General features: G+C 46.4%; 1 protein-coding gene across 2 annotated transcripts in view, besides 3 other annotated features; it reads right to left on the bottom strand.

Annotated features, from left to right (window-relative positions):
- CFAP251 (cilia and flagella associated protein 251) overlaps positions 1 to 26,064 on the bottom strand; it is an 85,328-nt gene that overhangs the window by 28,507 nt on the left and 30,757 nt on the right. Inside the window, exons 9-18 of one of the 2 annotated variants that reach the window (NM_144668.6) lie at positions 23,883 to 23,933; positions 21,079 to 21,293; positions 18,145 to 18,339; positions 16,891 to 17,141; positions 16,319 to 16,470; positions 14,655 to 14,828; positions 13,251 to 13,435; positions 8,344 to 8,458; positions 7,244 to 7,407; positions 79 to 169 (exon numbers count right to left, since the gene is read on the bottom strand). In NM_144668.6, the coding sequence (NP_653269.3) occupies positions 79 to 169; positions 7,244 to 7,407; positions 8,344 to 8,458; positions 13,251 to 13,435; positions 14,655 to 14,828; positions 16,319 to 16,470; positions 16,891 to 17,141; positions 18,145 to 18,339; positions 21,079 to 21,293; positions 23,883 to 23,933 (1,593 nt within the window). Of the gene's footprint in view, positions 1 to 78; positions 170 to 3,343; positions 3,856 to 7,243; positions 7,408 to 8,343; positions 8,459 to 13,250; positions 13,436 to 14,654; positions 14,829 to 16,318; positions 16,471 to 16,890; positions 17,142 to 18,144; positions 18,340 to 21,078; positions 21,294 to 23,882; positions 23,934 to 26,064 lie in introns of those variants that run through there. The other variant, NM_001178003.2, reaches the window with a different exon arrangement.
- Positions 3,753 to 4,252: an enhancer, noted in NCBI's record as "H3K4me1 hESC enhancer chr12:122409067-122409566 (GRCh37/hg19 assembly coordinates)". NCBI's record gives its function as "activates a minimal SCP1, AML or CMV promoter by ChIP-STARR-seq in naive H9 embryonic stem cells {active_cell/tissue: H9 hESC(naive)}" and the evidence as "EXISTENCE:reporter gene assay evidence [ECO:0000049][PMID:30033119]".
- Positions 16,171 to 16,689: an enhancer, noted in NCBI's record as "H3K4me1 hESC enhancer chr12:122396630-122397148 (GRCh37/hg19 assembly coordinates)". NCBI's record gives its function as "activates a minimal SCP1, AML or CMV promoter by ChIP-STARR-seq in naive and primed H9 embryonic stem cells {active_cell/tissue: H9 hESC(naive and primed)}" and the evidence as "EXISTENCE:reporter gene assay evidence [ECO:0000049][PMID:30033119]".
- Positions 16,690 to 17,209: an enhancer, noted in NCBI's record as "H3K4me1 hESC enhancer chr12:122396110-122396629 (GRCh37/hg19 assembly coordinates)". NCBI's record gives its function as "activates a minimal SCP1, AML or CMV promoter by ChIP-STARR-seq in naive H9 embryonic stem cells {active_cell/tissue: H9 hESC(naive)}" and the evidence as "EXISTENCE:reporter gene assay evidence [ECO:0000049][PMID:30033119]".

Below are 26,064 nucleotides of genomic sequence, written 5' to 3'. Positions count from 1 at the left end.
CAAGGTTAACCCTGGGCACATTTGCTTTACAAACTTAACTAGATGTTACCAGGAGGTGTTTACTCTAGGGACAATTACCCTGTAGAATTTTCCTTCCCGGCCACCAGACAGCAGACCATAGAATGGGGTCAAGTCTTCACCCCCAAGAGAAACCGCTGCCTCCAGGACACTGGAACAACAACAGAAATGTCTCTATTAGAAAGCGCTCAAGCATGAGCATGGCTCAGAAGGTGGTCCGCACAGCACTGCGGCCCTCTGAAGGGTATCACAGCACAGATACAGTTAGGGTCTCTACACACTTGTTAAGAAAAGGTCCTTTAAAATGAAGCCCAAACCAGAAAATTCCATTTCAAGCGTGGAACTCAGAGGTAGAGGGCATCTGCCTTAATTATGGTGATATTCTCTTGATGATGACAGGGCAGGTGCTTGGCAATTTGTCTGCAATCTTTGGGGAACATGTCTCTCCTGGGGGTGGGGGAGGCATCCTGTGTTCTGAAACCACAATCCTCCCAGACAGAGCAGCCTTACCCGTAACTTTAGATCCACGAACGATCAGAGTCAAAAGAATGGGATATTGTACAAGTGAACTGCCAACACTAATTGCTTCCATAAAAACTCAGGAGACCACAGGGACCCATGCCAGTCAGATAAAAATAACCCTCTGCTCTCTAACTCAAGGTCAGACTTTCCAAAAATAGGCCCTTTCAATGGTAAGAAAACCTACTTTTGTATGAGACCAACTTTGCCTCCTACAAAAGGCTAATCATCAGAAATCATTCTAATAATCCACTAACTGGATTACTGCTAATCGGGTGATTAGCCTTTTTGCTGCGACATCAAGCACACCTCATGTAGACCACAGTGGGGAAGTGGGGAAGTGTCCAGAGTGTGGAGTCACACGGACATGTGTGCAAGTCCCGGCTCTACCCCTGGCAAGCTGTGTGATTCTGGGGAGGTGACTTAACCCCCCTGGCATCAGTGTCCTCCACTATAAAATGAGACGATTCTGCCTCACAGCATTGTTGTAAGAATTAATAAATAAACGCAGACACGGTATTCTAGTCTGTTTTCATGCTGCTGATAAAAACATACCCGAGACTGGGCAATTTACAAAAGAAAGAGGTTTATTGGACTTACGGTTTCACATGGCTGGGGAGGACTCACAATTATGGCGCAAGGTGAAAGGCATGTCTCACATGGCAGTGGCAAGAGAGAGAATGAGAGACCAAGTGAATCAGGTTTCCCCTTATCAAACCATCAGATCTCATGAGACTTATTCACTACCATGGGAACAGCATGGGGGAAACTGCCCCCACAATCCAACCATCTCCCACCAGGTCCCTCCCACAACACATGGGAATTATGGGAGTACAATTCAAGATGAGATTTGGGTGGAGACACAGCCAAACCATATCATTCCGCCTCTGACCCCTCCCAAATCTCATGTCCTTACATTTCAAAACCAATCATGCCTTCCCAATAGTCCCCCAAAATCGTAACTCATTTCACATTAACTCAAAAGTCCACATCCAAAGTCTTATCTGAGACAGGCAAGTCCCTTCTGCCTGTAAAATCAAAAGCAAGTTAATTACTTCCTAGATAGAATGGAGGTACCAAAATTGGGTAAATACGGCCATTCCAAATGGGAGGAATTGGCCGAAACAAAGGGGCTACAGGCCTCATGCAAGTCTGAAATCCAGGAGGGCAGTCAAATCTTAAAGCTCCAAAATGATCTCCTTTGACTCCATGTCTTATATCCAGGTCACGCTGATGCAAGAGGTGGGTTCCCATGGTCTTGGGCAGCTCCATCCCTGTGGCTTTACAGGGTACAGCCTCCCTCCTGGCTGCTTTCATGGGCTGGCATTAGTGTCTATGGCTTTTCCAGGCAAACAGTGCAAGCTGTCAGTGGATCTACCATCCTGAGGTCTGGAGGATGGTGGCCCTCTTCTCACAGCTCCACTAGGCAGTGCCCCAGTAGAGACTCTGTGTGGGGGCTCTGACCCCACATTTCCCTTCCACACTGCTCTAGCAGAGGTGCTCCATGAGGGCCCCGCCCCTGCAACAAACTTCTGCCTGGGCATCAAGGTGTTTCCATACACCTTCTGAAATCTAGGCAGAGGTTCCCAAACCCCAATTCTTGACTTCTGTGGACTGGCAGGCTCAACACGTCATGAAAGCTGCCAAGGCTTGGGGCTTCCACCCTCTGAAGCCACAGCCTGAGCTCTATGTTGGCCCCTTTCAGCCATGACTGGAGTGGCTGGGATGCCGGGCACCAAGTCCCTAGGCAGCACACAGCATGAGGATCCTGGGCTTGTCCCAAGAAACCATTTTCTCCTAGGCCTCCAGGACTGTGATGGGAGGGGCTGCCAAGAAGATGTCTGACATGCCCTGGAGACATTTTCCCCATTGTCTTGCAGATTAACATTCAGCTATTGGTTACATAGGCAACTTTCTACAGTTGGGTTGAATTTCTCCTCAGAAAATGGGTTTTTCTTTTCTATCACATAGTCAGGCTGCAAATTTTCCAAACTTTTATGCTCTGCTTTCTTTATAAAACTGAATGCCTTTAACAGCACCCAAGTCACCTCTCGAATGCTTTGCTGCTTAGAAATTTCTTCCGCCAGAGGCCAGGCGCGGTAGCTCATGCCTGTAATCCCAGCACTTTGGGAGGCCGAGGCAGGTGGATCACGAGGTCAGGAGATCAAGACCATCCTGGCTAACACGGTGAAACCCTTTCTCTACTAAAAATACAAAAAATTAGCCAGGCATGGTGGCACACACCTGTGGTCCCAGCTACTCAGGAGGCTGAGGCAGGAGAATCACTTGAACCCGGGAGGTGGAGGTTGCAGTGAGCCAAGATCGTGCCATTGCACTCCAGCCTGGGTGACAAGAGTGAGACTCCATCTCAAAAAAAAAAAAAAAATTACTCTACCAGATATCTTAAATCATCTCTCTCAAGTTCAAAGTTCCACAAATCTCTAGGGCAGGGGCAAAATGCCACCAGTCTCTTTGCTAAAACATAACAGAATCACTTTTGCTCCAGTTCCCAACAAGTTCCTCATCTCCATCTGAGACCACCTCAGCCTGAACCTTATTGTCCATATCACTATCAGGCTTTTGGCTAAAGCCATTCAACAAGTCTCTAGGAAGTTCCAAACCTTCCCACATCTTCCTGTCTTCTTCTGAGCCCTCCAAACTGTTCCAACCTCTGCCTGTTACCCAGTTCCAAAGTCACTTTGACATTTTCAGATATCTTTTCAGCAGTGCCCCATTCTACTGGTACCAATGTACTATATTAGTCCATTTTCATGCTGCTGATAAAGACATAACTGAGACTGCACAATTTACAAAAGAAAGAGGTTTATTGTTACAGTTTCATGTGGCTGGGGAGGCCTCACAATCATGGCGGAAGGTGAAAGGCACGTCTCACATGGCAGTGGCAAGAGAGAATGAGAGCCAAGTGAAACAGGTTTCCCCTTATCAAACCATCAGATCTTGTGAGACTTATTCACTACCACGAGAACAACATGGGGGAAACCACCCCCTGCTCCCCCACCATCCAACCATCTCCCACCAGGTCCCTCCCACCATACACGGGAATTATCGGAGTACAATTCAAGATGAGATTTGGGTAGGAACACAGAGCCAAACCATATCACAAAGATTGGAGACAAAAGTCCTTTATTTTCCTCCTGTAATGAATGTTTGTTAAGGTGTGGGGTGGACTTAGAAAGCCCTGGCTGTGAATCCCAGCTCCACTGCCTCCTCCATTGCTTGGGCAGTCATCAGACCCCTTGGAGTTAGCTTCTTGATGTGTCTGATGGGGATAATATTGGTGCCTGGCTCCCAGGATGGCTGTCAGGATGAAATCAGATGATACATGGAACTCACTCAGTGCAGGCCCCGGCCCTGAGAAAACTCAGCACAAGTGGTTGGGATTATTACGGCCATGGAAATGGGTATCAGCACACTCCTACACCTTTCTTAGGAAGAGTCTGCCATGCACTGTCCTGGGTCCTCTCACTGAGGCATGCACAAGCCCACGGACTGGCTTAAGGTCTGAGGAACCTGGGTATTCTCCAGGGGTGCCTGAGGGCCCCTCCAGCAAGACCCTCCAGCAAGGGCCCCTCCAGCAAGGGTCTTCCCCACTTCTCAGCACTTGCCATGGAGGCAAGTGTCCAGCTGAGAGGGCTCCCTCTCTGTGGCCTCCAGGCCAGGCCCAGGCCCAATCCCAACAAGCTCAGTGAGCAGCAAGGCCACTTTTAGCCATGTGGCTCTGGAGCAGAGCCAGGTAAAGGCCAGAAGTGACACAGAGGAGCCTGTCCCCAGCAGGAGCCCCTGAGGGGAAAGGCTAGCAAGAGCACCTGGTCCTCTGAGAACAGCCTGCAGCTCCCGGCTCTGGTGTTCAGAGCTCCCCTACATCCCCTACCTCCTGGCCACCGTCAACTGACCCCAGAGGGGCCAGGGGGCTGTACTGGCATTTCTCCAACACAAGCTGGGAAAGAGACTCCCTCTCTCTGTGGTGAGAGCTATAATTTGTGAAATTTGGGAACTGTCAGCAGCCATCTTCCTGCTGAGTAAGGAAACCCAGTTCTGCAGAGAATGAAGCCAACAGCAGGGCCAAGTAGACAGCAAGTGCTGTGAGCACCAAGTGTGCCGCTGTCCGTGACCTTCTTGTGGTGTAGCTACATGCGATCCCAACGACCTTCTCATACATTCCCTTTTGCCTAAATTGTGTTTCTAACACTTGCAACAGAAAAGAGGTCATTAGGGCACAAAAGGGAAATGACACTTATTGAAAACCTGCTCTGTACCCAGCAATCCATACAGTACTTCTGGAAAGGAGCTAAAGCTCAGCCCTGTGGCAAGCACACAGTAGGTGCTCTGTAAACGCTCCCTGGATGAGGAGGAGGAGGAATGGTCTGAACTTGGTGGTAGCAGTCCCATTTAAGAGTTGGAGGAACTGAGGCTCCGAGAAGTGAAGGGACTTGCCTGGCGTCATCCAGCAAGCAGGTAGTGATTAGCTAGGATTCGAATCGGGGTCTCTCTGCTCTTGGCTGAGCAGGGCAGCAGGATGACAGGAGGCAGGGAGGATGAGCACAAAAAAGTAATGCAGGATTTGGAAACAGATGCCAGACAAGGAGAAGAGAAAGGGTGCATGCTAGCACGGAGCAGGAGAAGAAGGGGCGTGCGGAATGAACCCTGAGAGAGGGGATGGAAGGGGCTCTCCCGGGGCAGAAGCGCCATAGACTGTGATGGTAGCAGTTGGGGCCAAGGGGTGCACTGACTGAAATGATCGAATGTGAGGGGATTTATCATCTTTATCTCCCCTACAACTCATCATCAGTAACTCTAGTAGGAAATTCTGTTTGTTTACTTGTTTAGGTTTTTTACATTTCTCTCCATTAGTGAAGTGCTGATCATATTAAGTCACCAGAAGCAGCAATGAAGTGATAATTAGTTTATAATGATCCTTTGTCCCCACCACAGATTAAATTGAAATTCTCAGAAGCCTGGACTCTGGCCAGGCGAAAGCTATTGGAAAGCAGAGGCCTTTTTTTCTTCTTCTTAAATTTCTACCATTCCAGATCCCACGACGACTGAGAAGAAGACAAACATTTCAGAAGGAAGGTTCTAGCTGGGTGCAGTGGCTCACATCTGTAATCCCAACACTTTAGGTGCCCAAGGCTTGAGCCCATGAGTTCAAGACCAGCCTAGGCTTGGTGTGACTCTGTATCGACAAAAAAAATTTTTTTAAAGTTAGCCAGGCACATTGGCATATGCCTGTGGTCCCAGCTACTCAGGAGGCTGAGGCAGGAGAATTGTTTGAGCCCAGGAGTTCGAGGCTGCAGTGAGCCATGATCACACCTCTGTACTACAGCCTGAGCGACTGAGCCAGACCCTGTCTCAACAACAACAACAAATAGAAGGGAAGGTTCTGCTTGTCCCCACAGGGTGTGGCTTGCCCCCATGGTTCCAGGCAACAAGCCAGGGAGCAAGGAACCAGGCAGCCATTCTGAGGCCATGATCCCTTTTCAATAGGAGAGTTCACCTCCAGCTCCTAAATCCTCAAGTTCCCAAGATCTGCTCTCTCAGGTGAAGGTGGGGTGGAAGTCAGAGCTGCAAGTGCAATCTCAAACCACCGTGGTTCCAAAGCAGATTTAACCGGCTATTTTTGCTCATATTCAGGTTAAGAGTAGAAGCTTCAATATCTGCCATAAAAAGAAAGATGTGCATTTGGCAGATGGCAGGGGGTACACTGTGCTGGCAGCCAGGAATCAGGTTTGTTTTCCGAGGAAGGAAGGTGCCTCTGAGCTGTTTTTGCTCCTCAACGTCACACTACCGAGAGAGGCCCAGCCGAGCCACAGGCAGCGCAGGGGCTTGGAGAAGTGGTCAGGAACAGGAACCGGCTGCCACATGGTTGACTCTGCCCTGCGGCAGCATGCCGGATTTGGGTAGATGAGAGGACAGTGTGGGTGCTTGTCCCCTCTTTATTAGGGAAGATTCTGAGCTCATAAGCAAATGCCCTTACAGGAAGAAGAGACGAAAGGAAATCATTCACTTGCCGAGTACTTTGCTCTGTACTAGGTGCTTTTCCCCTATTAAACTACCTGATCTTTACAGGGATCCTACAGAAGTTCCTATTATCACCCCCATTTCACATGCTATCACCCTCATTTTGCATGCAAGGAATCTAAAGATCAGGGACGTTAAGAAGCTTGCCCTAGGCCCCATAGCCAGTAGAGGGTGGGCCCATATTCAAACTCATATTATCCCTTTCACCTCAAAGTCCACATACTCTCCAATGTTCAACTCTAGAATTCTCCAGCCTCGCCTCAGGCAGAGGTTCTCCATTCAGGGCAGGGAGGGTGAGAAGAGGAGCCGAAAATACCACTTGAAATGATCCTCTTACTATTTCCGTAGTATATGCTTTGGAGGGTCGGCCTAGATCTTTCTAGCAGGTGTGGATATGTGGAGCAGAGGGAGAAGCATTTTAGGGAGCAGGGGTGAGCCCAAGGTGCTGTCACATCGCCTGAACTGCAAACACCATTGGTCCATGGGACAGGACAGCAACTCCTGTCTGCAGAGTAATGTGAGCAATGCCACCGGGGAGCAACCTGAAGGCCAGGCCCTGTGACATCCTAGCACAGTGCCTGGCACGCAGTAGGGTTCAGTGTCTATCACTGTTGCTGAGTGAAAAGGAGTTTACACTTGATACCTTCCTTCTCGCCCCATCGTGTACCTTAAGGTGATTTTCCACTGCACCACCGAGCGATCGTGCCCTCCCGCAGTGAAGGCGTAGCAGCCATCATAGGAAACGGCCATGCCGGCCACCCCGTTCGGGTGGCAAACAATAGCAGATGTCTTATGTGGATTGCCGTCAACTGGTAAGATCTGAAGTCCCACCTAGAAAGGAACACATAATTGGATATTCAGACTCAGGTAGCTGGGCCCGAGAGAGGCCTGGCACGTTCACATGTCACCTCCAGATCTGTGTGCCAGAAGGACCTGTGTGTCTGGACCCATCTCTGAGTGTGAGAGCCACATTTAATGTAGCTGGGCATCCACACACACCAGCCCTGGTAGGGGGCCCCTTGCACAGCTCTAACAGGTACACAGAAGGGAAGCTTTCCTCCCTGCCTTCATGGTCAGTTGTCCAGGGTTTTCCAGAATACATCTCACAACCTATGACTTTACACTTTTCTTTTTTTTGACGGAGTCTCACTCTGTCGTCCAGGCTGGACTGCAGTGGCGCGATCTCGGCTTACTGCAAACTCCGCCTCCCGGGTTCATGCCATTCTCCTGCCTCAGCCTCCTGAGTAGCTGGGACTACAGGCGCCCACCACCACGCCCGGCTCATTTTTTGTATTTTTAGTAGAGACGGGGTTTCACCGTGTTAGCCAGGATGGTCTCCATCTCCTGACCTCGTGATCCACCCGCCTTGGCCTCCCAAAGTGCTGGGATTACAGGCGTGAGCCACCTCACCTGGCCCGACTTTACACTTTTCAACGCAGATTATTCATTAAATGTACAACAAAGTGTAACTAATTTGCATATTTTTACAAGAGTTTTTCCATGTAAATAAATAAGAAGGAAAAATCCTTTGGTGGCCCATGTATCTTCACTGGGAATATAGAAAATGCAGTAACTCTGCTCAGAAATGTCTCCCAAGAGTCTTCCTAACTCATCAAGGGCAATTTTCAGTATCACAGCTGACTGGGGTGGAAGCAGTTGGGCTTGGCTGTAAACCCAGAACTCTCTGAGTCTCGTGATCTTCAGTAATGACTGCTGCTCATGACACACAGAGTCAACTCCCAGAACTGGAGAAGAGAGCGCTGTTACCTTGTCTCTGTTAATAAACACCAAGTAGCGTTTCTGTAGCTCCGCCATGCTTCTCACTGGGAGGACTTGTGTCTGCTCAATAGGGGAACCATAAGCTGGCCCCAGAAGCGTCTTTCTGAAGGCAAAAAGAGAAAGAGTTTTTAAAATTCCACAAATCTCAACATAGGTTTTAAGATTCTTTGGTCGGGCCAGGCGCAGTGGCTCACACCTGTAATCCCAGCACTTCGGGAGGCCAAGGCAGGCGGATCACAAGGTCAGGAGTTTGAGACCAGCCTGGCCAATATGGTGAAACCCCGTCTCTACTAAAAATACAAAAATTAGCCAGGCGTGGTGGCAGGTGCCTGCAATCCCAGCTACTCAGGAGGCTGAGGCAGGAGAATCGCTTGAAACTGGGAGGTGGAGGCTGCAGTGAGCTGAGATTACGCCACTGTACTCCAGCCTAGGTGACAAAGTGAGACTCCATCTCAAAAAAAAAAAAAAAAGACTCTTTGGTCATGGATGGGGCATGGTGGCTCACGCCTGTAATCCCAGTACTTTGGGAGGCCGAGGCAGGTGGATCAACTGAGGTCAGGAGTTTCAAGACCAGCCTGGCCAACATGGTGAAACACCACCTCTACTAAAAAAAAAAAAAAAAAAAAAAAATTAGCCAGGCATAGTGGTGCGCGCCTGTAGTCCCAGCTACTCAGGAGGCTGAGGCATGAGAATCGCTTGAACCTAGGAGGTGGAGGTTGTAATGAGGTGAAATCACGCTACTGCACTCCATCCTGGGTGACAGAGCAAGACTCCATCGAAAGGAAGAAGAAGGGGAGGGGGAGGGGGAGGGGAGGGAAGGGGAGGGGAGGGGAGGGAAGGGGAGGGGAGGGAAGGGGAGGGAAGGAGAGGGGAGGGGAGGGGAGGGAAGGGGAGGGGAGGGGAGGGGAGGGAAGGGAAGAGTTTTTAAAATTCCATAAATCTCAACATAGGTTTTAAGACTCTGGTCATGGGCAGAACGCAGTGGCTCATTCCCATAATCCCAGCACTTTGGGAGGCTAAGGTGGGAGGATTGCTTGGGGTTAGGAGTTCGAGTCCAGCCTGGGCAACATAGTAGTTTCCTGTCTCTATGAAAAATTAGCCTGGCTTGGTGGCCTGAGGCTAAGGTGGGAGCATTGTTTGAGCCTGGGAGGTCGAGGCTGCAGTGAGCTGAGATCATGCCACTGCACTCCAGCCTGGGCAACAGAGTGAGACCCTGCCTCAAAAAAAAAAAAAAAAAGAAGAAGAAGAAGGAGAAAATCTATATCTCCACATTGCTGCACCCTATCCCAAGATAATCATGAGTAATAATTTGGTGTATATGACTCAAGAATTTCTTTTGTAATTATAATTTTATATAAAAATAGAATTATGCTATTCATGCTTCATTGGTAATTTGCTTTATCTCATTTTACATCTTTGAGATATTTCCACGTCATTACACAGAGAGCTGTCTTACTCTTCCTTTTTTTTTCTTTTCTAAAAGCAGCATCGTGTTCCAGTGTACTGACAAACCATTGTTTAACTCATCCCCTATTAATGGGCATTTGGATTGTTTCCATTTTTAAAAATATTTTCAAACAAGACATCCGTTTACTTATGTCTTGGCATACTGTGTGAGTACTTCTGTGGGCTACATTCCTAGAAGTCAGAAGATATGATAAAATTTAATAGAGGGTGACAAATTGCTTTCCCAAAAGGTTACACTGATTCACACCCGCCCCCAGAAGCGGATGAGAGTGCCCGTTTTCCTAGCCTCTTGCCAATGCTAAGCACTATCAATCATTTTTATCTTTGCTAATCTGATTGGTGAAAAAATGATATCTTGTTTTCATTTGCATCTTTGACATACTAGTGAGCATCTGCTCATAGGTTTATTGGCCTTTTCCTGTGAACTGCCTTTTCATGTTCTTTCAAATCTTTTTTAAATGCATTTTTACATTCTTTTGGATTTATCACAAAAAGACAATTCCTTCCCAATTAAGCCATGGTTATGAGGCTTTCTTATTCCTACAGCTTACAAGATGCTTTATGCAAGGGCTTTTATTCTGGAATGATGGAAATGCTCTGAAGCTACAGTGGGGGTTGCACAGCACCATGAGTACTAAATGCCATGGAACTGTTCACTTTCTTTATTTTATTTTATTTTATTTTTTTTAAGACAGAGTCTAGCTCTGTCGCCCAGGCTGGAGTAAAGTGGCTAGTAAAATCCCGCCTCACTGCAACTTCCACCTCCCGGGTTCATGAGATTTCCTGCTTCAGTCTCCCACGTAGCTGGGATTACAGGTGCATGCCACCACGCCCGGCTAATTTTTGTATTTTTAGTAGAGACAGGGTTTCACCATGTTGGCCAGGCTGGTCTCGAACTCCTGACCTCAGGTGATCCACCTGCCTCGGCCCCTCCCAAATGCTGGGGCGTGAGCCACCACGCCCGGCTGAACTGTTCACTTTCAAATGGTTCATTTTATGTTACGTGAGTATCACCTTGATAAAAATTTTTAAGATGCTTTATGCTAATTTCAGATTGATCATCAACAGGCAGAAGCTCCCAACTTTGTGTCTAAAAGTCCCTCCTGCCTCTTTCCTCCAGTGAATGACTGTTAGCAGGAACTTCAGGCCCGAGGTCTGCCAGCCCTCATTCTCCAGCTCTGCCAATTCAGTGTCTTAGGACTGCGCATATCTGAGAGATATTCTTTGTCCAAAAAGTATGTTTTCATTAAAAACTATGCACAATGATTCTGAAATCTTTCTAAAGCTCCTCTTTACACATGCTTTCCAGTGTTTTAATCGTTTAAGGAAACTGTCCTGGATTTTTCTCTCTACCATAAAACATGGCATTTCTCAGTCATTTTTTCTTGTGCCTTCTGGGAAAGAACTGTTTACAACAACAACAACAACAACAACAACAACAACAAATCCCGGGTGGTCCTGGCCTTTTGAGGACCTGTCTTATCTGAGATACATTTCAAAACCATGATAGTCTTCAAGCCTGAGCCAGCTGCTGCCAGTTCCCTGACTTCCTTCTCCTGGTGGTGGTGGCAGTGGCAGTGGTGGTGGTCGTGGTGGATCACTGAAACATTCTCCCTTCGAACTTCTCCTGCCTCCATCCTTCTTTCCAGCCATACCCAAGACACAGCCAAACCAAAGGCAGAAGCTCCCCTCCAGGGCTGACCAGGTAAGATCCCAAAGCCAGGGCTGTGTCGAGGCCCCACAGCGCTGAGTAGAGGATGGGGTCAGGGCTAGGGTCAAGGGTCAAGTCCTGCCCTGTTTGACCTTGGACAAGTCACACAGCCTCCTGAAGCTCGGTGGGAGAATAGTTAGCAGGGCTGTGGATGAGGGAATGGGATGACAGTGCAGGCCCTGCTGTACTCGAGGCACAATCGTCAGTGTTTCTTGTGAGGGCTCACAGGGGCCAAAGCACAGGGGCCCACGTGCATGTGCAGGATGGCATCAGGAGGGAGGAGATGCCACTCTAGGATGCTGGGCTGCAGATGCCCTGCTCCCTGGCTGTGGACTCCCTGCTCCCCAGCAGCGGACGCCCTGCTCCCCGGCTGGTGTCCTCCCCGTCTCGTGCCTTCAACCATCCTGTGTTCCTGACTCCAGCCCAGCCTCTCCCGGGACCTCCACAATCCAGAGTCTGATTCGTGGGTTCCCACCTGAATGCCAAGCAGGCATCTCAAGCTTGCCTTGTCCAGTCTGACCCCTGGTTTATCTCAAAGCTATCTTTCCCTTGTCCTCCTCATCTCTTTAAAGGTCCAGTCCATTCTTCTGACTTCGAGAGGTGTCTTCTCTCACACCTCCTGTTCCCTCCATTAGCAAACGCTGTTCGCTTTGCCGGCAGGATATATCCAGAATCTGACCCCTCTTTTCTGCCCTCAGGGCCAAGCCGCCATCAGCTCTCACACCAGTTTCCCGAATCTTGCTTCTACCTTTGCGCCCCAGAGTCTGCTCTCTGTACAGAAGCCAGACATCATTCTAAAGCATCAATCAGAACATGTCACTCCCCTGCTCAAAACCCTCCACTAGCTCTCGCCTTACCCGGGAAGGAACCAGAGTCTCCAGGGTGCCGTGTGCCTGGCACCAGCCCGTACCTCTGACCTGCTCTCCCATGCCCCCTCCTTGCCCATTCCACTCTGGCCTCACCAGCCTTCGCGGCATTTCCCAAACCCCAGACGCCTCCCACCTTCACTCATTGGCCCTTGCTGATCCACTGTCTTTCCTCCAACCGCACAGCAGCCCCTCGCTTCCCCCTCACTTTCTTCAAGTCTCTGTCTGGATGCTCAGATGTCCCCTGCTCTCCAAGGCCTTCCCTGCCTCCCCACCTTTTTATCCTGCCTTTTCCTTTTCCTTTTTTTTTTTTTCTTCTTTGCACAGACCTGATTACCACATACCTACTACCTTGCTACTTGTTCACGCCATTGCATCACCTGCCCCCGCCAACATGTAAACTCCACAGTGATGGAAACTGTTCTGTTTTCATCATCTTCAGCACCTAAAACGGTACCTGGCTCACGCAGGGTGTAAACAAAGGAGGGCTAGCAATTAAAGTTAAAACTCCTTTGAGACCCAAGAGTAAGAAAAAATCAAACAATTGTTAGTAGCCAGGTAAAACTATGTTTTTCTTAATGAGAGGAGAATAGGAGATAGCATTAGCAACTTTCCCAGGGCCCCAGGGTCTGTGTCCTTCCTGGATTCTGCACATCTCACCTCCACACAGGGCCACATGACCTTGGTGAGAATTACTTACGTTATCTGTGCCTCAGTCTCCTCCTCTGCAAAGCAAAGAGGATGATAATAGTAGCCAAGCTGCCTGCAGGTCCCTATGTGGAGACCTGAAACAGGTTGGGGGCAGAGAACTTGATCCACGCCCCCTGCAATGGGAAGCTCCGGGTGCTTACCTGCACATTTTGGTAGTAGCATTAAAAAGCTTCACTTTGTAGCCACTGTTGCAAATAAGCAGGAAGAGTTCCCTGGTGAGTGGTGGGTACCAGACCATGCAGGTGGGATAGCAGCCCTGGTCGGTGTGGTGAATGTCCAGGACTTCCAGGTGGTCTTTGTAGCTCCTGAGAAGATCATACTCTATCTGCAGAGGAGCCCAGATGGACACACATGAGGACCAAGCCAAATTAAAGGCTCAGCTAAGGAACCCCAAGCTCTTGGGTGACAGCCTTTATAATTATCAGCCAACAGTGCTGTTCTGGGGGAGACGGTATCAGGTCTCCTAAGAGAAGACTTGCCTAGACCTGACACTGACTAAGTCATCAGTACTGAGAATTCACTACCTGGAAGACAATGAGCTGAGTGCTCTAAAAACAGCTGTCATGTCATCCTCAGAACTTCCCTGCAAAGGGGTACTGTTCTGCCCATTTTACAGATGAGAAAACAGATGTTCAAGGATGTTCAGAGTGGCTTGTCCAAGGTCACATAGCTAAAAAGTGGCAGAGTAAAAATTCAAAAATTCAAATTTAGATCCAGCTGATTCCCACACCTGACGTCTTACAGTTCTGTTATACTGTGTCACTTATTATCTTAGGAACTAATTCATATCTAAATCTCAGCCCAACACTTGGCAGTCACAAATCAGTAGCCACTGAACTGGGCCCATACAGGTATGCTTCCGTGGGCAGGGCAGAATGGATGGATGGATGGGTGGATGGACGGATGGATGGATGGATGGACAGATGGATGAATGGATGGAGAAACTGAATAAAGGAAGGAAGGGGAGAGAAAGAAGGGAGGGGCGGGGGAGGGAGGGAAGAAGAAAGGGAAGGAAGGAAGGGAGGGAGGGAGAGAGGGGGAGAAGAAAGGAGGGAGGGAGGGAGGAAGGAAAAACAGACAGATACAATGACTGGTTGAATCCATTTCACCTGACTCTGTAATATTGCGTTTGCCCATCCCTACCTTTTCCTCTTATCTCACAACCTCTCCTAGTTTTCACATTTAGGTAGCAGCCTGGCCCCAACTGATGGACATGAAGACAGTGTTAGTGAGTGTCAGCCCTCCCCGTGCACACTGGGAGGCAAGGGCGGCTGCTTTCCAAGCTATGGGGAACTCCCCGCTCCTTGCCTTCTAACTTGTTGCTGCCCGGGAAGCCTCCTCGTTCAGCACAGGAGTCCCCAGGTGGTGTCCCAGCCATGTTAAGGCAAAATGCCAACCTGGAGAGGTTTGTGATCCTTCACTGTGCATTCATTTTCTCCAACAAACACACGTACTGTGGGCCTGGCTCTATGCAAGATGCCAGGGATGTCACAAGAGTGAGACACAGTCTTGGCGACCAGGTCAACGAAAACTAAACAGCTCACCAAGAGCCTGTCTGTCCCAAGGCTCAGCAGTCTAGGCTCATTGCTGTCCAGGTAAACCCCAAACAGGAGACTTCGAATGCTTTTGCGATGAGAGCGAAGTCTTGCTAAGTACTCCCAGACCCTCTGTCCATTTCTGACCACCAGCATGTAAACAGCCACAGTAAAACTTCTATCCTGAAGATGAGCAAAAGAGAAGGAGTTATCCCATTTTACGTTTAGTAAATTAAGAATCATCATTATGGGCCAGGCGCGGTGGCTCACGCCTGTAATCCCAGCACTTTGGGAGGCCGAGGCGGGTGGATCACCTGAGGTCGGGAGTTTGAGACCAGCCTGGCCAATATGGCAAAACCCCATCTCTACTAAAAATACAAAAATTAGCTGGGCGTGGTGGCACATGCCTATAATTCCAGCTACTTGGGAGGCTGACACAAGAATTGCTTGAACCTGGGAGGAGGAGGTTGCAGCGAGCCAAGATCTGTTGCACTTCAGCCTGTACAACAGAGCAGGACCCTATCAAAAAAAAAAATACTAAGAATATTTTTTTCAAAAATAATCTTAGTCTATTCAAGCAAGTAGTAAAACAATATCCATTTTAGTTTTAGTTTAGTTTTTTTGGGTTTTTTTTGAGACAAGAGTCTTGATCTGTTGCCCAGGCTAGAGTGCAGTGGCCTGATCACGGCTCACTGCAGTCTCAGTCTCCTGGGCTCAAAAGATCCTCCAGCCTCAGCCTCCTAAGTAGCTAGGACTACAGGCACATGCCACCATACCTGGCTAGTTTTTTTTCATTAGTTTTTGTAGAGATGGGGGGTGTCTCACCATGTTGCCCAGGCTGGTCTCGAACTCCTGCCTCAAGCAATCTGACTGCCTCGACCTCCCAAAGTGCTGGGATTACAGGTATAAGCTACACCTGGCCTAATGCCCATTTTACAGATAAGAAAATTAAAGTTAAAAGCAGAAAACTGAAAAGGTAGCGGGGAAGAAAGTATGAACGTGAAACTATGGTTTTACACTCCTTTCCAGGTGCCCCCTCGCTGTCTGTGGAAAGCCAAAAGCCTGACTCTTTGTGCCTTCGTCCTCCCTTTTCTTTGTCCAGCTACATATAATAAAAAAGCTATGTGTTTTTGAAAGGTATGAAGGCTGCAAGTGAACCCAGTTGGAGTGGGAGAGCCTGGCCTGAGGGGACACAGAAGCTGGACTGTGTGCACCCACAGTATGCTGAGACAGCTTTGGCTTCAGAAGCGTTGTGTACACAAACCGGAGGAGTGGCCGCACCAGTGTGGGGATGGAGAGCGCCGGAAGGGACAGGAGTTTAGCGAAGACCACTGCTTTTCCCTCCCAACATAAAGGCAGACCAACATACCTGCCTTATAGCTCACTGTAACCTCAAACTCCTGGCCCGCAGGGGTCCTCCCGCCTCAGCCTCCTGGATAACTGGGGCTACAGATGTGTGCCACAAGGCCTGGCTAATTTTTAAAAAGTGTTTTTGTAGCAGTGGGGTCCTGCTGTGTTTCCTAGGCTGGTCTTGAATTCCTGTCCTCCAATGATCCTCCCACCTCGGCCTCCCAAATCATTGGGATTACAGGTGTTAGCTACTATGTCTGGCCTCTTTTGGTTTCAAATAAAATTGCTAAGCCACTGGATGGGTTGTCCATGAAAATACTTACAGCAGTTGCCATATACTGGGAGTCATGGGAAAAGCTTATATGAGTCACACTGGTTCTGGAATATTTGAAAGGCTCTGGGCTTTCATTTTCTAAAGACATTGCATCAAGAATGTAAACTGTCCCCTCTGTAAAGCCAGCTCCAAGAAGGGCTCCTGAAATGACAAGCCAGAGAACGATGGAAAAGGATTACATTCATTCAAGAGATGTTGAGTCTGTGCCAGGCTTTGTTCTGGGTGCGGAGAAGACAGCAACTAACACAACAAAGCTCCCGTGCGGAGAAATGAACCGAAACGCGTGATCTCCTGGGGTGAGCGCGCAGAGACGCACAGATAGGCCCAGGACACCGCGGGAGCCCCAGAGAGAAGGCGCCTCATCCAGCCTGCTGGGGTGAGCGCGCAGAGACGCACAGATAGGCCCAGAACACCACGGGAGCCCCAGAGAGAAGGCGCCTCATCCAGCCTGCTGGGGGCTGGAGTCGGGGAGACTTCCTGGAGCTATGCCAGCCCAGGTGCATCCATCCCTTTCAGGGCTGTCCATGTGGAACCGATGGTAGGCTGATAAGATGAAAATACCTTCGGGGTTGTAGGTCAGACTCTGGACTCCAAGCCCCTTCTCAAAAACCCTGCTGAAAAGATATTGTTTGTTTTCATAATTCCACACTTTGATCATCCCACAGATGCTCCCGATGGCAATGAGGGGTTGATATGGGTGGCAGGAGATGGCACAAATGGCATCCTTGGGCTCTACAAATAACTTCTCAAGTTTGGTCCCATCTGTTGTTAAGTGGTACACCGCGGCATCAGATGTTCCAATGATAAAATTCCTGTTTGCCAAGGAGAGACCAAACAATATCAGTGTTTGCAGGGAATGGGGCATGCCAGCTATTCTGCTTCTAATTGCACATAAAACGCCTCTGTCGTCTGTAATTTAGTGACATTATTAACCCAACATTTCCAAAAATATACCACCAATACCCAACAGCCTCCATTTGCAAGTGAAAAAGCCCACTTTTCTCCATGTAAATTGAGTCATTAAGTATGCAGATGGACAGTCAGTTGTACAATTAGCTAATCTGCACATGCAAATATTCATTTGTGTATGCAAATATGGAGTTTGGTGCACACATACAGATGTGCCTGTAACTACTGCAAGGGTAATTAAGCAGACTCACAGATAATTCGGTCTTGAAATGTTATGGCTATTAATTATCCAGTGCCTTTAACTGCAGTGGCTAGGACAAGCTCAGCTTAGAGAAAAGAGACCAACCTGCAGCAAAAGACTCCAGACTCAACAGAGGTGAGAGATCAGGGATCAGGACTTTACAGCTTCCAGTTACTAAAGAGTCTTAATATTAAAGTCATGTTTCATTAATTTTTTTTTTTTTTTTTTTTGAGACAGAGTCTCGCTCTGTCGCCCAGGCTGGAGTAGAGTGGCGCTATCTCAGCTCACTGCAAGCTCCGTCTCCCGGGTTCACACCATTCTCCTGCCTCAGCCTCCCGAGTAGCTGGGACTACAGGCACCCGTCACCACGCCCGGCTAATTTTTTGTATTTTTAATAGAGACGGGGTTTCACCATGTTAGCCAGGATGGTCTCGATCTCCTGACCTCGTGATCCACCCGCCTTGGCCTCCCAAAGTGCTGGGATTACAGGCGTGAGCCACCACGCCCGGCCTTATGTTTCATTAATTTTTTAAATGATCCAGTGGTTATCACAATCAGCCAGGGAGATATCCCAGGAACAACACGAACCTCCCACTGTATGCAAACTAAAGAAGACAGTGATCATTTTTCAACCATTCTAATGACTAGATTCATTAACAACTTACCTTAAGACAAAAAGGTCACCTTTTAAAGTGCAGTCAGGAGGATAGTTTGATTTTTCAGTAGGAGGAGTTGCTGGGGTCTTTGAAAAGGACAGAGTTCTTATGGCGCCCAGTTTCAAGTGACTGTACCAGTTAACAATAGACAGGGTGTGATCATAGAACTTAATGTTCCCCTTAATGTCACCTGTGACAATGTAGCTGAAATGGAGAATAACATCAGTTTTGCAAATAGCAATAATAACAAGTAGCATCTATATAATACCTAATTATATGTCAGGCTCTGGATTCTGGGGCATTGCAAAAACTTAATTTAATACTCCCAACGAGAATGATTTTACTGTTATCCCAATTTACATCTAGGAAACTAACTTTCAGAGAGTTAAGAAATTTGCTCAGGGCATTGTGTTGCCAGATTTAGCAGGTAACAATACAGATACCCAGTTACTTTGAAAATTTGCATTAAAAAAATTTAGTGTAGCTGGGTGTGGTGGCTCATGTCTGTAGTCCCAGCACTTTGGGAGGCCAAGTCGGGTGGATCACCTGAGGTCAGGAGTTCGAGACCAGTCTGGCCAACATGGTGAAACCCCGCCTCTACTAAAAATACAAAAATTAGTCAGGTGTGGTGGTGTGCACCTGTAATCCCAGCTACTCGGGAGGCTGAGGCAGGAGAATCGCTTGAACATGGAAGGCGGAGCTTGCAGTGAGCCGAGATTGCATCATTGCACTCCAGCCTGGGTGACAAGCACAAAACTCCGTCTCAAAAAACAAAACAGACAAACAAACAAAAAATTTAGTGTAAGTACATCCCATATATTGCATGGGACATACTTATACCTGGCAATTTTATCAGGGCCATGTGGCTTGACTATGCAAGGAACCCAGGTATATCTAAAGCAAAGTCCATGCTCTCTGCTAGTTCTTCCCTGCCCTCCAAGATCAGCCATACGCAATGGAGGTGGACAAGGATTTACACTCCCCATATAACTACAGATGACAATGGAGAGAATCGCTTCACCAGCCCTCTGAAATCATGCAGGCTGGCAATGGGACACTAGCCACTTTACAGGAAGGCACTACTGTTAGTGTGATCATAAAACCCTGTCCAGTCATCACGGCAGAAGGCAGTGCCACGTGACAAAATGGCTTTCATTTCCAGTCCTTGGATCCATCCCAAATGGGCTTTTTAAAAAAGACTTTGACATAATTCTAATCACGGGGGGCAGATGAGGAGGATTTTTCTCTTACATATGCAGAGTGGTTAAATGAGGTTTCTGATTAATAAGCAAGGCAGGTGGGCTAATTGGCTTGAACATCTGTCCCTGCCCTCTGCTGGACAGAAGCAGCAATACTGACCAAGTATTTCCAGAGACCTTTTCCTTCTTGGACTCCCAGGTCCTGACTGGGTTTTATTAACTTGGAGAACCCAGGCCTGGTCTCCACTGGATCCTAAACCCCAACCGATTAAAGGTTGATTGCATGGCCAACTGCAGTTCTCCTATCTTCTCGCTCCACTGAGTGAGGGTGACAATTTGCATTTCTCTTTGTAAAACCATGTCAAGACCTCATTGTTCCCCTGCATCGAAAGAAAGGCGAATGGAAGCAAATGGGCATTTTGAAAGCAGATGGCCCAGTGACTCTAACCATATGGGTAGCGTCCCCATCACTAGGCAATTTTCTCCACACCTTCGGGAACTTCTCTCACACACTGACGATGGCCACCATTTACCTAGGGTTCCCCTGCACCAAGCATGTGCATCCATATCTCGTGAAATCCTCATAAAACCACTCTGAGAGAAATAGTACTGTTATGCCCATTTTACAGATGAAGAAATAGAGGCTCAACAAGGTTAAGTTCCTTGCTCAAGGTCACTCAGCAAGGAAGGGACCCAGCTGAAATGAGAACTCTGTCTTAATTAAGACAGAGTTTTGATGCATTTGATCTTCTCACAATGGGTAAATATTATTTTTGTTTTGTTTTGAGACCGAGTCTCACTCTGTCGCCCAGACTGGAGTGCAGTGGTGAGATCTTGGCTCACTGCAACCTCTGCCTCCTGGGTTCAAGTGATTCTCATGCCTCAGCTTCCCAAGATGCTGGGATTACAGCCGCACACCACCACACCTGCCTAATTTTTGTATTTTTAGTAGAGACAGGGTTTCACCATGTTGGCCAGGCTGGTCTCAAACTCCTGAGGCCACCCGCCTCGGCCTCCCAAAATGCTGGGATTACAGGCGTGAGCCACCGCTCCCAGCTGTAAATGTTATCTTGTAATCAGACAAAAATAATACAGCTATTCAAATTATTTTCTTACATTTAATGCATGTAAAATGTTGGGTGCAAAATCCATCCAATTAGCACAGAAGAAAAAATCTAGTTCCTTTTTGTTTCATCGACACAAAGGGATTTTTTAAACATAATGCATACTCATGATTTTTTTAAAAATCCAATTAGTATAAATGGAACTATAAAAAGAAGTAAATCCACCCCCATCCCTGATCTTAGTTCTCAGTTCTTTTCCTCAGAGGCAACCAATGTTCCCAGTTCATTATGATTCTCCCCAGAATACTTTATGCTATACAAAATATGCATATACATCCAAAAGAGGTTTTTTTTTTTTTTTTTTTTTTTTTTTTTTTTAAGACAGGAGGGTCTCACTCTAACACCCAGTCTGGAGCACAGTGGCAATGATAGCTCATTGCAGCCTCGAACTCCTGGGCTCAAGCAATCCTCCCATCTCTCTCTCTTTGTTTTTTGGTAGAGATAGGGTCTCACTATGTTGCCCAGGCTGGTCTTGAACTTCTGGCCTCATGTGATCCTCCCACCTCAGCCTCCCAAAGAACTGAAATTAGAGGTGTAAGCCACTGTGCCCAACCTCCCATAACAATTTTAAAATATTTTTATAATTATCCATAGTTATCTTTTAATTAAGTTAAAATTACCTATCAATTGTGGTAAGTACCGTGATACCCTCTTTCTGCAAATGAACCAATTTACAAGGCTTGATATAGGGAAAGCCCAAAAAGGTGGAGGCAGATGAGGGTGGGCGGTGTATGTCCCAGACAACCAGCTTCCCTTCCATTGTGGCTGAGAGTATTTGTGTTAAATTCAAGTGAAAGATGGACTGGCTAAACTTTCCCACAAGCTTGTTGAAGGTCTGTTTCAAAAGAAAGGTTATAGTTACTGTTGGTAATAAATATAAAACAAAGCATTTATCAATACGATATTTTATAATGCTATGCTGAAATATAGTGAGAAAAAGAGAAAGAAAAAGAAAACAATCACTAAAACCGTCTCCCATGAATTGCCATGGTCCAGGCAGTTCTGAACCTCTGGAAGTTTGCTAAGAGCAAGTGAAGGGTTATGTACTCTGTTCAATTACATTGTTTGTTTAAAGCAAACGAGAGAGTGGTTAATCACTGTTTATACCTGTTAAACTTCTCTTATGGAGGTTTCAGAGACTGGTGAAGAAACTAATGCCTGTTGTGAGTCAAAGCATGCTCTGGTTATAAAATAGCATAAAATAATTATCCCAGCCTCCTTTTATCATAAGGTATTTTCCCATCAGTAGAAAATATTTAAGCACTGTACATAGAAATGCCCTATTCTCTATGCTGCCCGATTCTCTAATAATACAGAGAAGATCCTAAGGTTTACCTCTTCTGACTTGAACACAAGAGGAATAGTAAAATAATGATTAGTCAAACAAGAGCACCAAGTTCTTTCTAAGAGCAGCACTGTTTCAATACATTTTTATCATTTCAAATGGCTCATTATTTGTGGATTCTGTATTTGCGAATTTACCTACTTTAAGAATTGATTTGTAATCCCAAAATCAATACTTGCAGCACTCTCACGGTCATTTGCAGAAGTGCATGTGCAGTGTGACAAATAATTTTACTCACTCAACATGCACATTTCCAGTTGAGGGCAGGCAGGGCAATGCTCCGCCTTCTTGTCTCAGCTCTGACTATAAACAAGTGTCCTTTTCATGGTCTATTTAGTGCCATGTTGTTTGCATTTTTGGTTGTTTGCATTTTTCTTGGTGATTTTAGTATTTAAATTGACCCTGAAACATAGTGCTGAAGTGCTGGCTAGTGTTCCTAAGCAAAAGAATGCTGTGATGTGCTTTATGGAGAAAATATGTAGGTTAGATGAGTTTTGTTCAAGTCATGAGTTATAGTGCTGTTGGCCATGAGTTCAATGTTAATGAATCAATGTTATATATTAAATAAAGTGTCTTTAAATAGAAATACACATAAAACAAGCTTATGTATTGATCAATTGGTGAAAATGTGACCAGAGGCTCACAGAAACCTACCCCTATATTTCCCTTAAGAGCAATAGTTAAGTATCTGCTAATTTGGTGTTTACAGAGACTTTATATAACATAACTACCAACAATAATGAGAACTGATGGTATTTTTTAGTACTTTCATTTATGAAAAACAAGTCTGCAGACAGAATAATCTCATTGTGCCCATCCATCTCAACTTTTTATTTTTTGTTTTTGTCTTTTGGCATGCCCTCTTAAATAAATTTCTACAAATCATACCGAGAGAGAAGCAAGTATGCAGAAAACTCATCATCAGGTGCTCCCTGAGAGCAGGTTACATGGGCAGCAAATGCAGAAAATGCTACAGGAGACGACTCAAGTTCCACCTCAGACACAAGAGCTTGCGGCAAGCAGGCAAGATAAAATGTTTTCTCAACATCTGGTTCACCTCCCTCTTATTGGCTCTCAAACATCTAAATACCTAATATCATGTATTATTCTGAAACTGAGCAGCTTTATAAGGGATCCACTCATGTTCAACGACTTTACTTACACTGTTTCATTCATTTTTTTTTTTTTTATATACAGGGTCTTGTTCTGTTGCCCAGGCTGGAATGCAGTGGCACAAACACAGCTCACTGTAGCCTTGACCACCTGGGCTCAAGTGATCCTCCCACCTCAGCCTCCCGAGTAGCTGGGACCACAGACTCATACCACCCTGGCTGGCAATTTTTTTTTTTTTTTTTTTTTTTTTTTTTTTAGTAGAAACGAAGTCTAGCCTGTGTTGCCCAGGCTGGTCTCAAACTCCTGAGCTCAAGTGATCCTCTCACCTCAGTCTCCCAAAGTGTTGGGATTACAGATGAGAGCCACTGCACCCCCACAACTTTCATTCCTTGTCAATATGCACATACACATTCTAAAAGCCATCACGTTTTTATATTTTCTCACAGCAATAACTCTTTGTATAACATTTTATTAGGGCCAGGTGCAGTGGCTCACGCCTGTAATCCCAGCACTTTGGGAGGCTGAGGTAGGTGGATCATAAGGTCAGGAGATCAAGACCATCCTGGCTAACACAGTGAAACCCCGTCTCTACTAAAAAAAAATACAAAAAATTAGCCGGGCGTGGTGGCAGGCGCCTGTAGTCCCAGCTACTCGGGAGGCTGAGGCAGAAGAATGGCGTGAACCCGGGAGGCAGAGCTTGCAGTGAGCCAAGATCACGCCACTGCACGCCAGCCTGGGCGACAGAGCAAGACTCCGTCTCAAAAAAAAAAATTATTTTTAACAATACTTACATGATTTTCAACTGACAATTCAATATGTATACAGGACCCAAGTAAAATTTTTCAAATTATTTCCCAGTAGCTTAATATCAAGATGTACAAAGAGTAGCCCGAAGCAGCTAAGCTTGCACATAAATATTTATTCTCCACAAAATCTGATGGACAAAAATGCAATAGGCATACTCACTTTTTCAGTTAAAAGTGGGGCACTGTGAGCCAGTGTATCCCTCTCTTCATACTGATAAGAGGAAAAAATAATCACTACTCAAAAAGACCCAGTTTCCAAAGGAAGAACGGCATTAATAATAAAAGCAAAACAAATACATCTAAACAAGGTCAGAAATTTGCAGTTTCTACAGGTAAGAGAACTTGCTGTCTTGGGAAATATCTAAAAACATTCTGAAAGAAAAGCAAATACATAAAAAATATAAAAAATGCCACAAATGATTATGACTTTTTTTTTCTTGAGATGGAGTTCTATATTAAATAAGGTGTCTTCAAGCAGAAACACATCTATCGCCCAGCCTGGAGTGCAGTGGCGCGATCTCAGCTCACGGCAAACTCCGCCTCCTGGGTTCAAGCAATTCTCCTGCCTCAGCCTCCTGAGTAGCTGGGATTACAGGAGCGCACTACCATGCCCAGCTAATTTTTTTTTTTTTTTAGTAGAGATGGGGTTTTGCCATGTTGGCCAGGCTGGTCTCGAACTCCTGACCTCAGGTGATCCGCCCACCTCAGCCTCCCAAAGTGTTGGGATTACAGGCGTGAGCCACTGCGGCCGACCTTAAGGTATTTATTAAAGTTTTAAAGGCTTATTAATAGAGAATTCGAATTTGCATTAAGTACTATGTAAAGTCACAATCGGCTGGGCACGGTGGCTCACGCCTATAATCTCAGCACTTTGGGAGGCTGAGGCGGGCAGATCACTTGAGGTTAGGAGTTTGAGACAAGCCTGGCCAACATGGAGAAACCCCGTCTCTACTAAAAATACAAAAATTAGCCAGGTGTGGTGGCAGGTTCCTGTAATCCCAGCTACCCAGGAAGCTGAGGCAGGAGAATTGCTTGAACCTGAGAGGCAGAGGTTGCAGTGAGCTGAGATCGCACCACTGCACTGCAGCCTGGATGACAGAGTGAGACCCCATCTCAAAAATAAAATAAAATAAAGCTATAATAAATATCTTAAATAATGACTATCACTCACAATCAGTGACTCAATGTGTTTTGGTTTTGTTCTACAATTTTTTATTGAGGTAAAATCCACTTAACATAAAATTAATCATAACCATGTTAAAGTGTGCAATTCAGCGGTGTTTCATACATTCACAATGCTGAGCAACCATCTAGATCCAAGACATTTTCATAACCCCAAAAGGAAATCTCCTACCTATTAAGCAGCCACTCCGTCTCTCTCCAGGCCTTGAAAACCACCAGTTTACTCTGTATCTGTGGACTTGCCTATGCTGGACATTCCATAGAAATGGCATCATACAACACGTGACTTTCGTGTCTGGTGTCTTTCATTTAGCATCATACTTTCAAGGCTGATCCATGTCACAGCATGTATCAGCACTTCATACAATAACATTCCATTGTATGGATAGACCACATTTTGTTTACCTACTCATCAGTTGATGAACACTTGGCTTGTTTCTACCTTTTGGTTATTACAAATAGTGCTGCTGCTGCTGCTGTGAACATTTGTGTAGAAGTATTTGTTTGAATGCTTCTTTTCAATTCTTTTACATCTTACCTTGGAATTGCTGAGTCACATAGCTATTCCATGTTTAACTTGAAACGTTTTTTGTTTTGTTGTGTTTTGTTTTGTTGAGACAGAGTCTCACTCTGTTGCCCAGGCTATAGTGCAGTGGCACCATCACCATCACAGCTCATTGCAGTCTCAAACTCCTGGGCTCAAGCAATCCTCCAGCCTCAGCCTTCTGAGCAGCTGGGACTACAGGCATGCATCACCATGCACTGTTAAATTTTTTTAAATAATTTTTTGTAGAGATGAGGTCTTGTTATGTTGCTCAGGCTAGTCTTAAACTCCTGGCCTCAAGTGATCCTCCTGCCTTGGCCTCCCATGGTGCTGGAAGTACAGTCATGAGCCACTGTGCTCAGCCTCAATGTTTTTTATTCTCATGATTTTGCCCTGTGTCAGTATATGTATCACTAATCTGTTTGCTAATTCCTTTCTAAAAGGGAAAAAAGACCAAGGTCTCAAAAAAAAAAAAAAAAAAAACCTGCTGTATTTTAGAGCCAGGTGTGGCCGGCTCACCCCTCTAATCCCAGCTACTTGAGAGGATTAAGCGGGAAGATCACTTGAGCCCAGGAATTTGAGGCCAGCCTGGGCAACATAGTGAGACCTCATCTCC

This window comes from Homo sapiens, chromosome 12, assembly GCF_000001405.40.
Source record: "Homo sapiens chromosome 12, GRCh38.p14 Primary Assembly".
NCBI lineage: Eukaryota > Metazoa > Chordata > Mammalia > Primates > Hominidae > Homo > Homo sapiens.
Note: the sequence above shows the minus strand (reverse complement) of the source record. Positions and strands in the feature narration are given on the sequence as shown.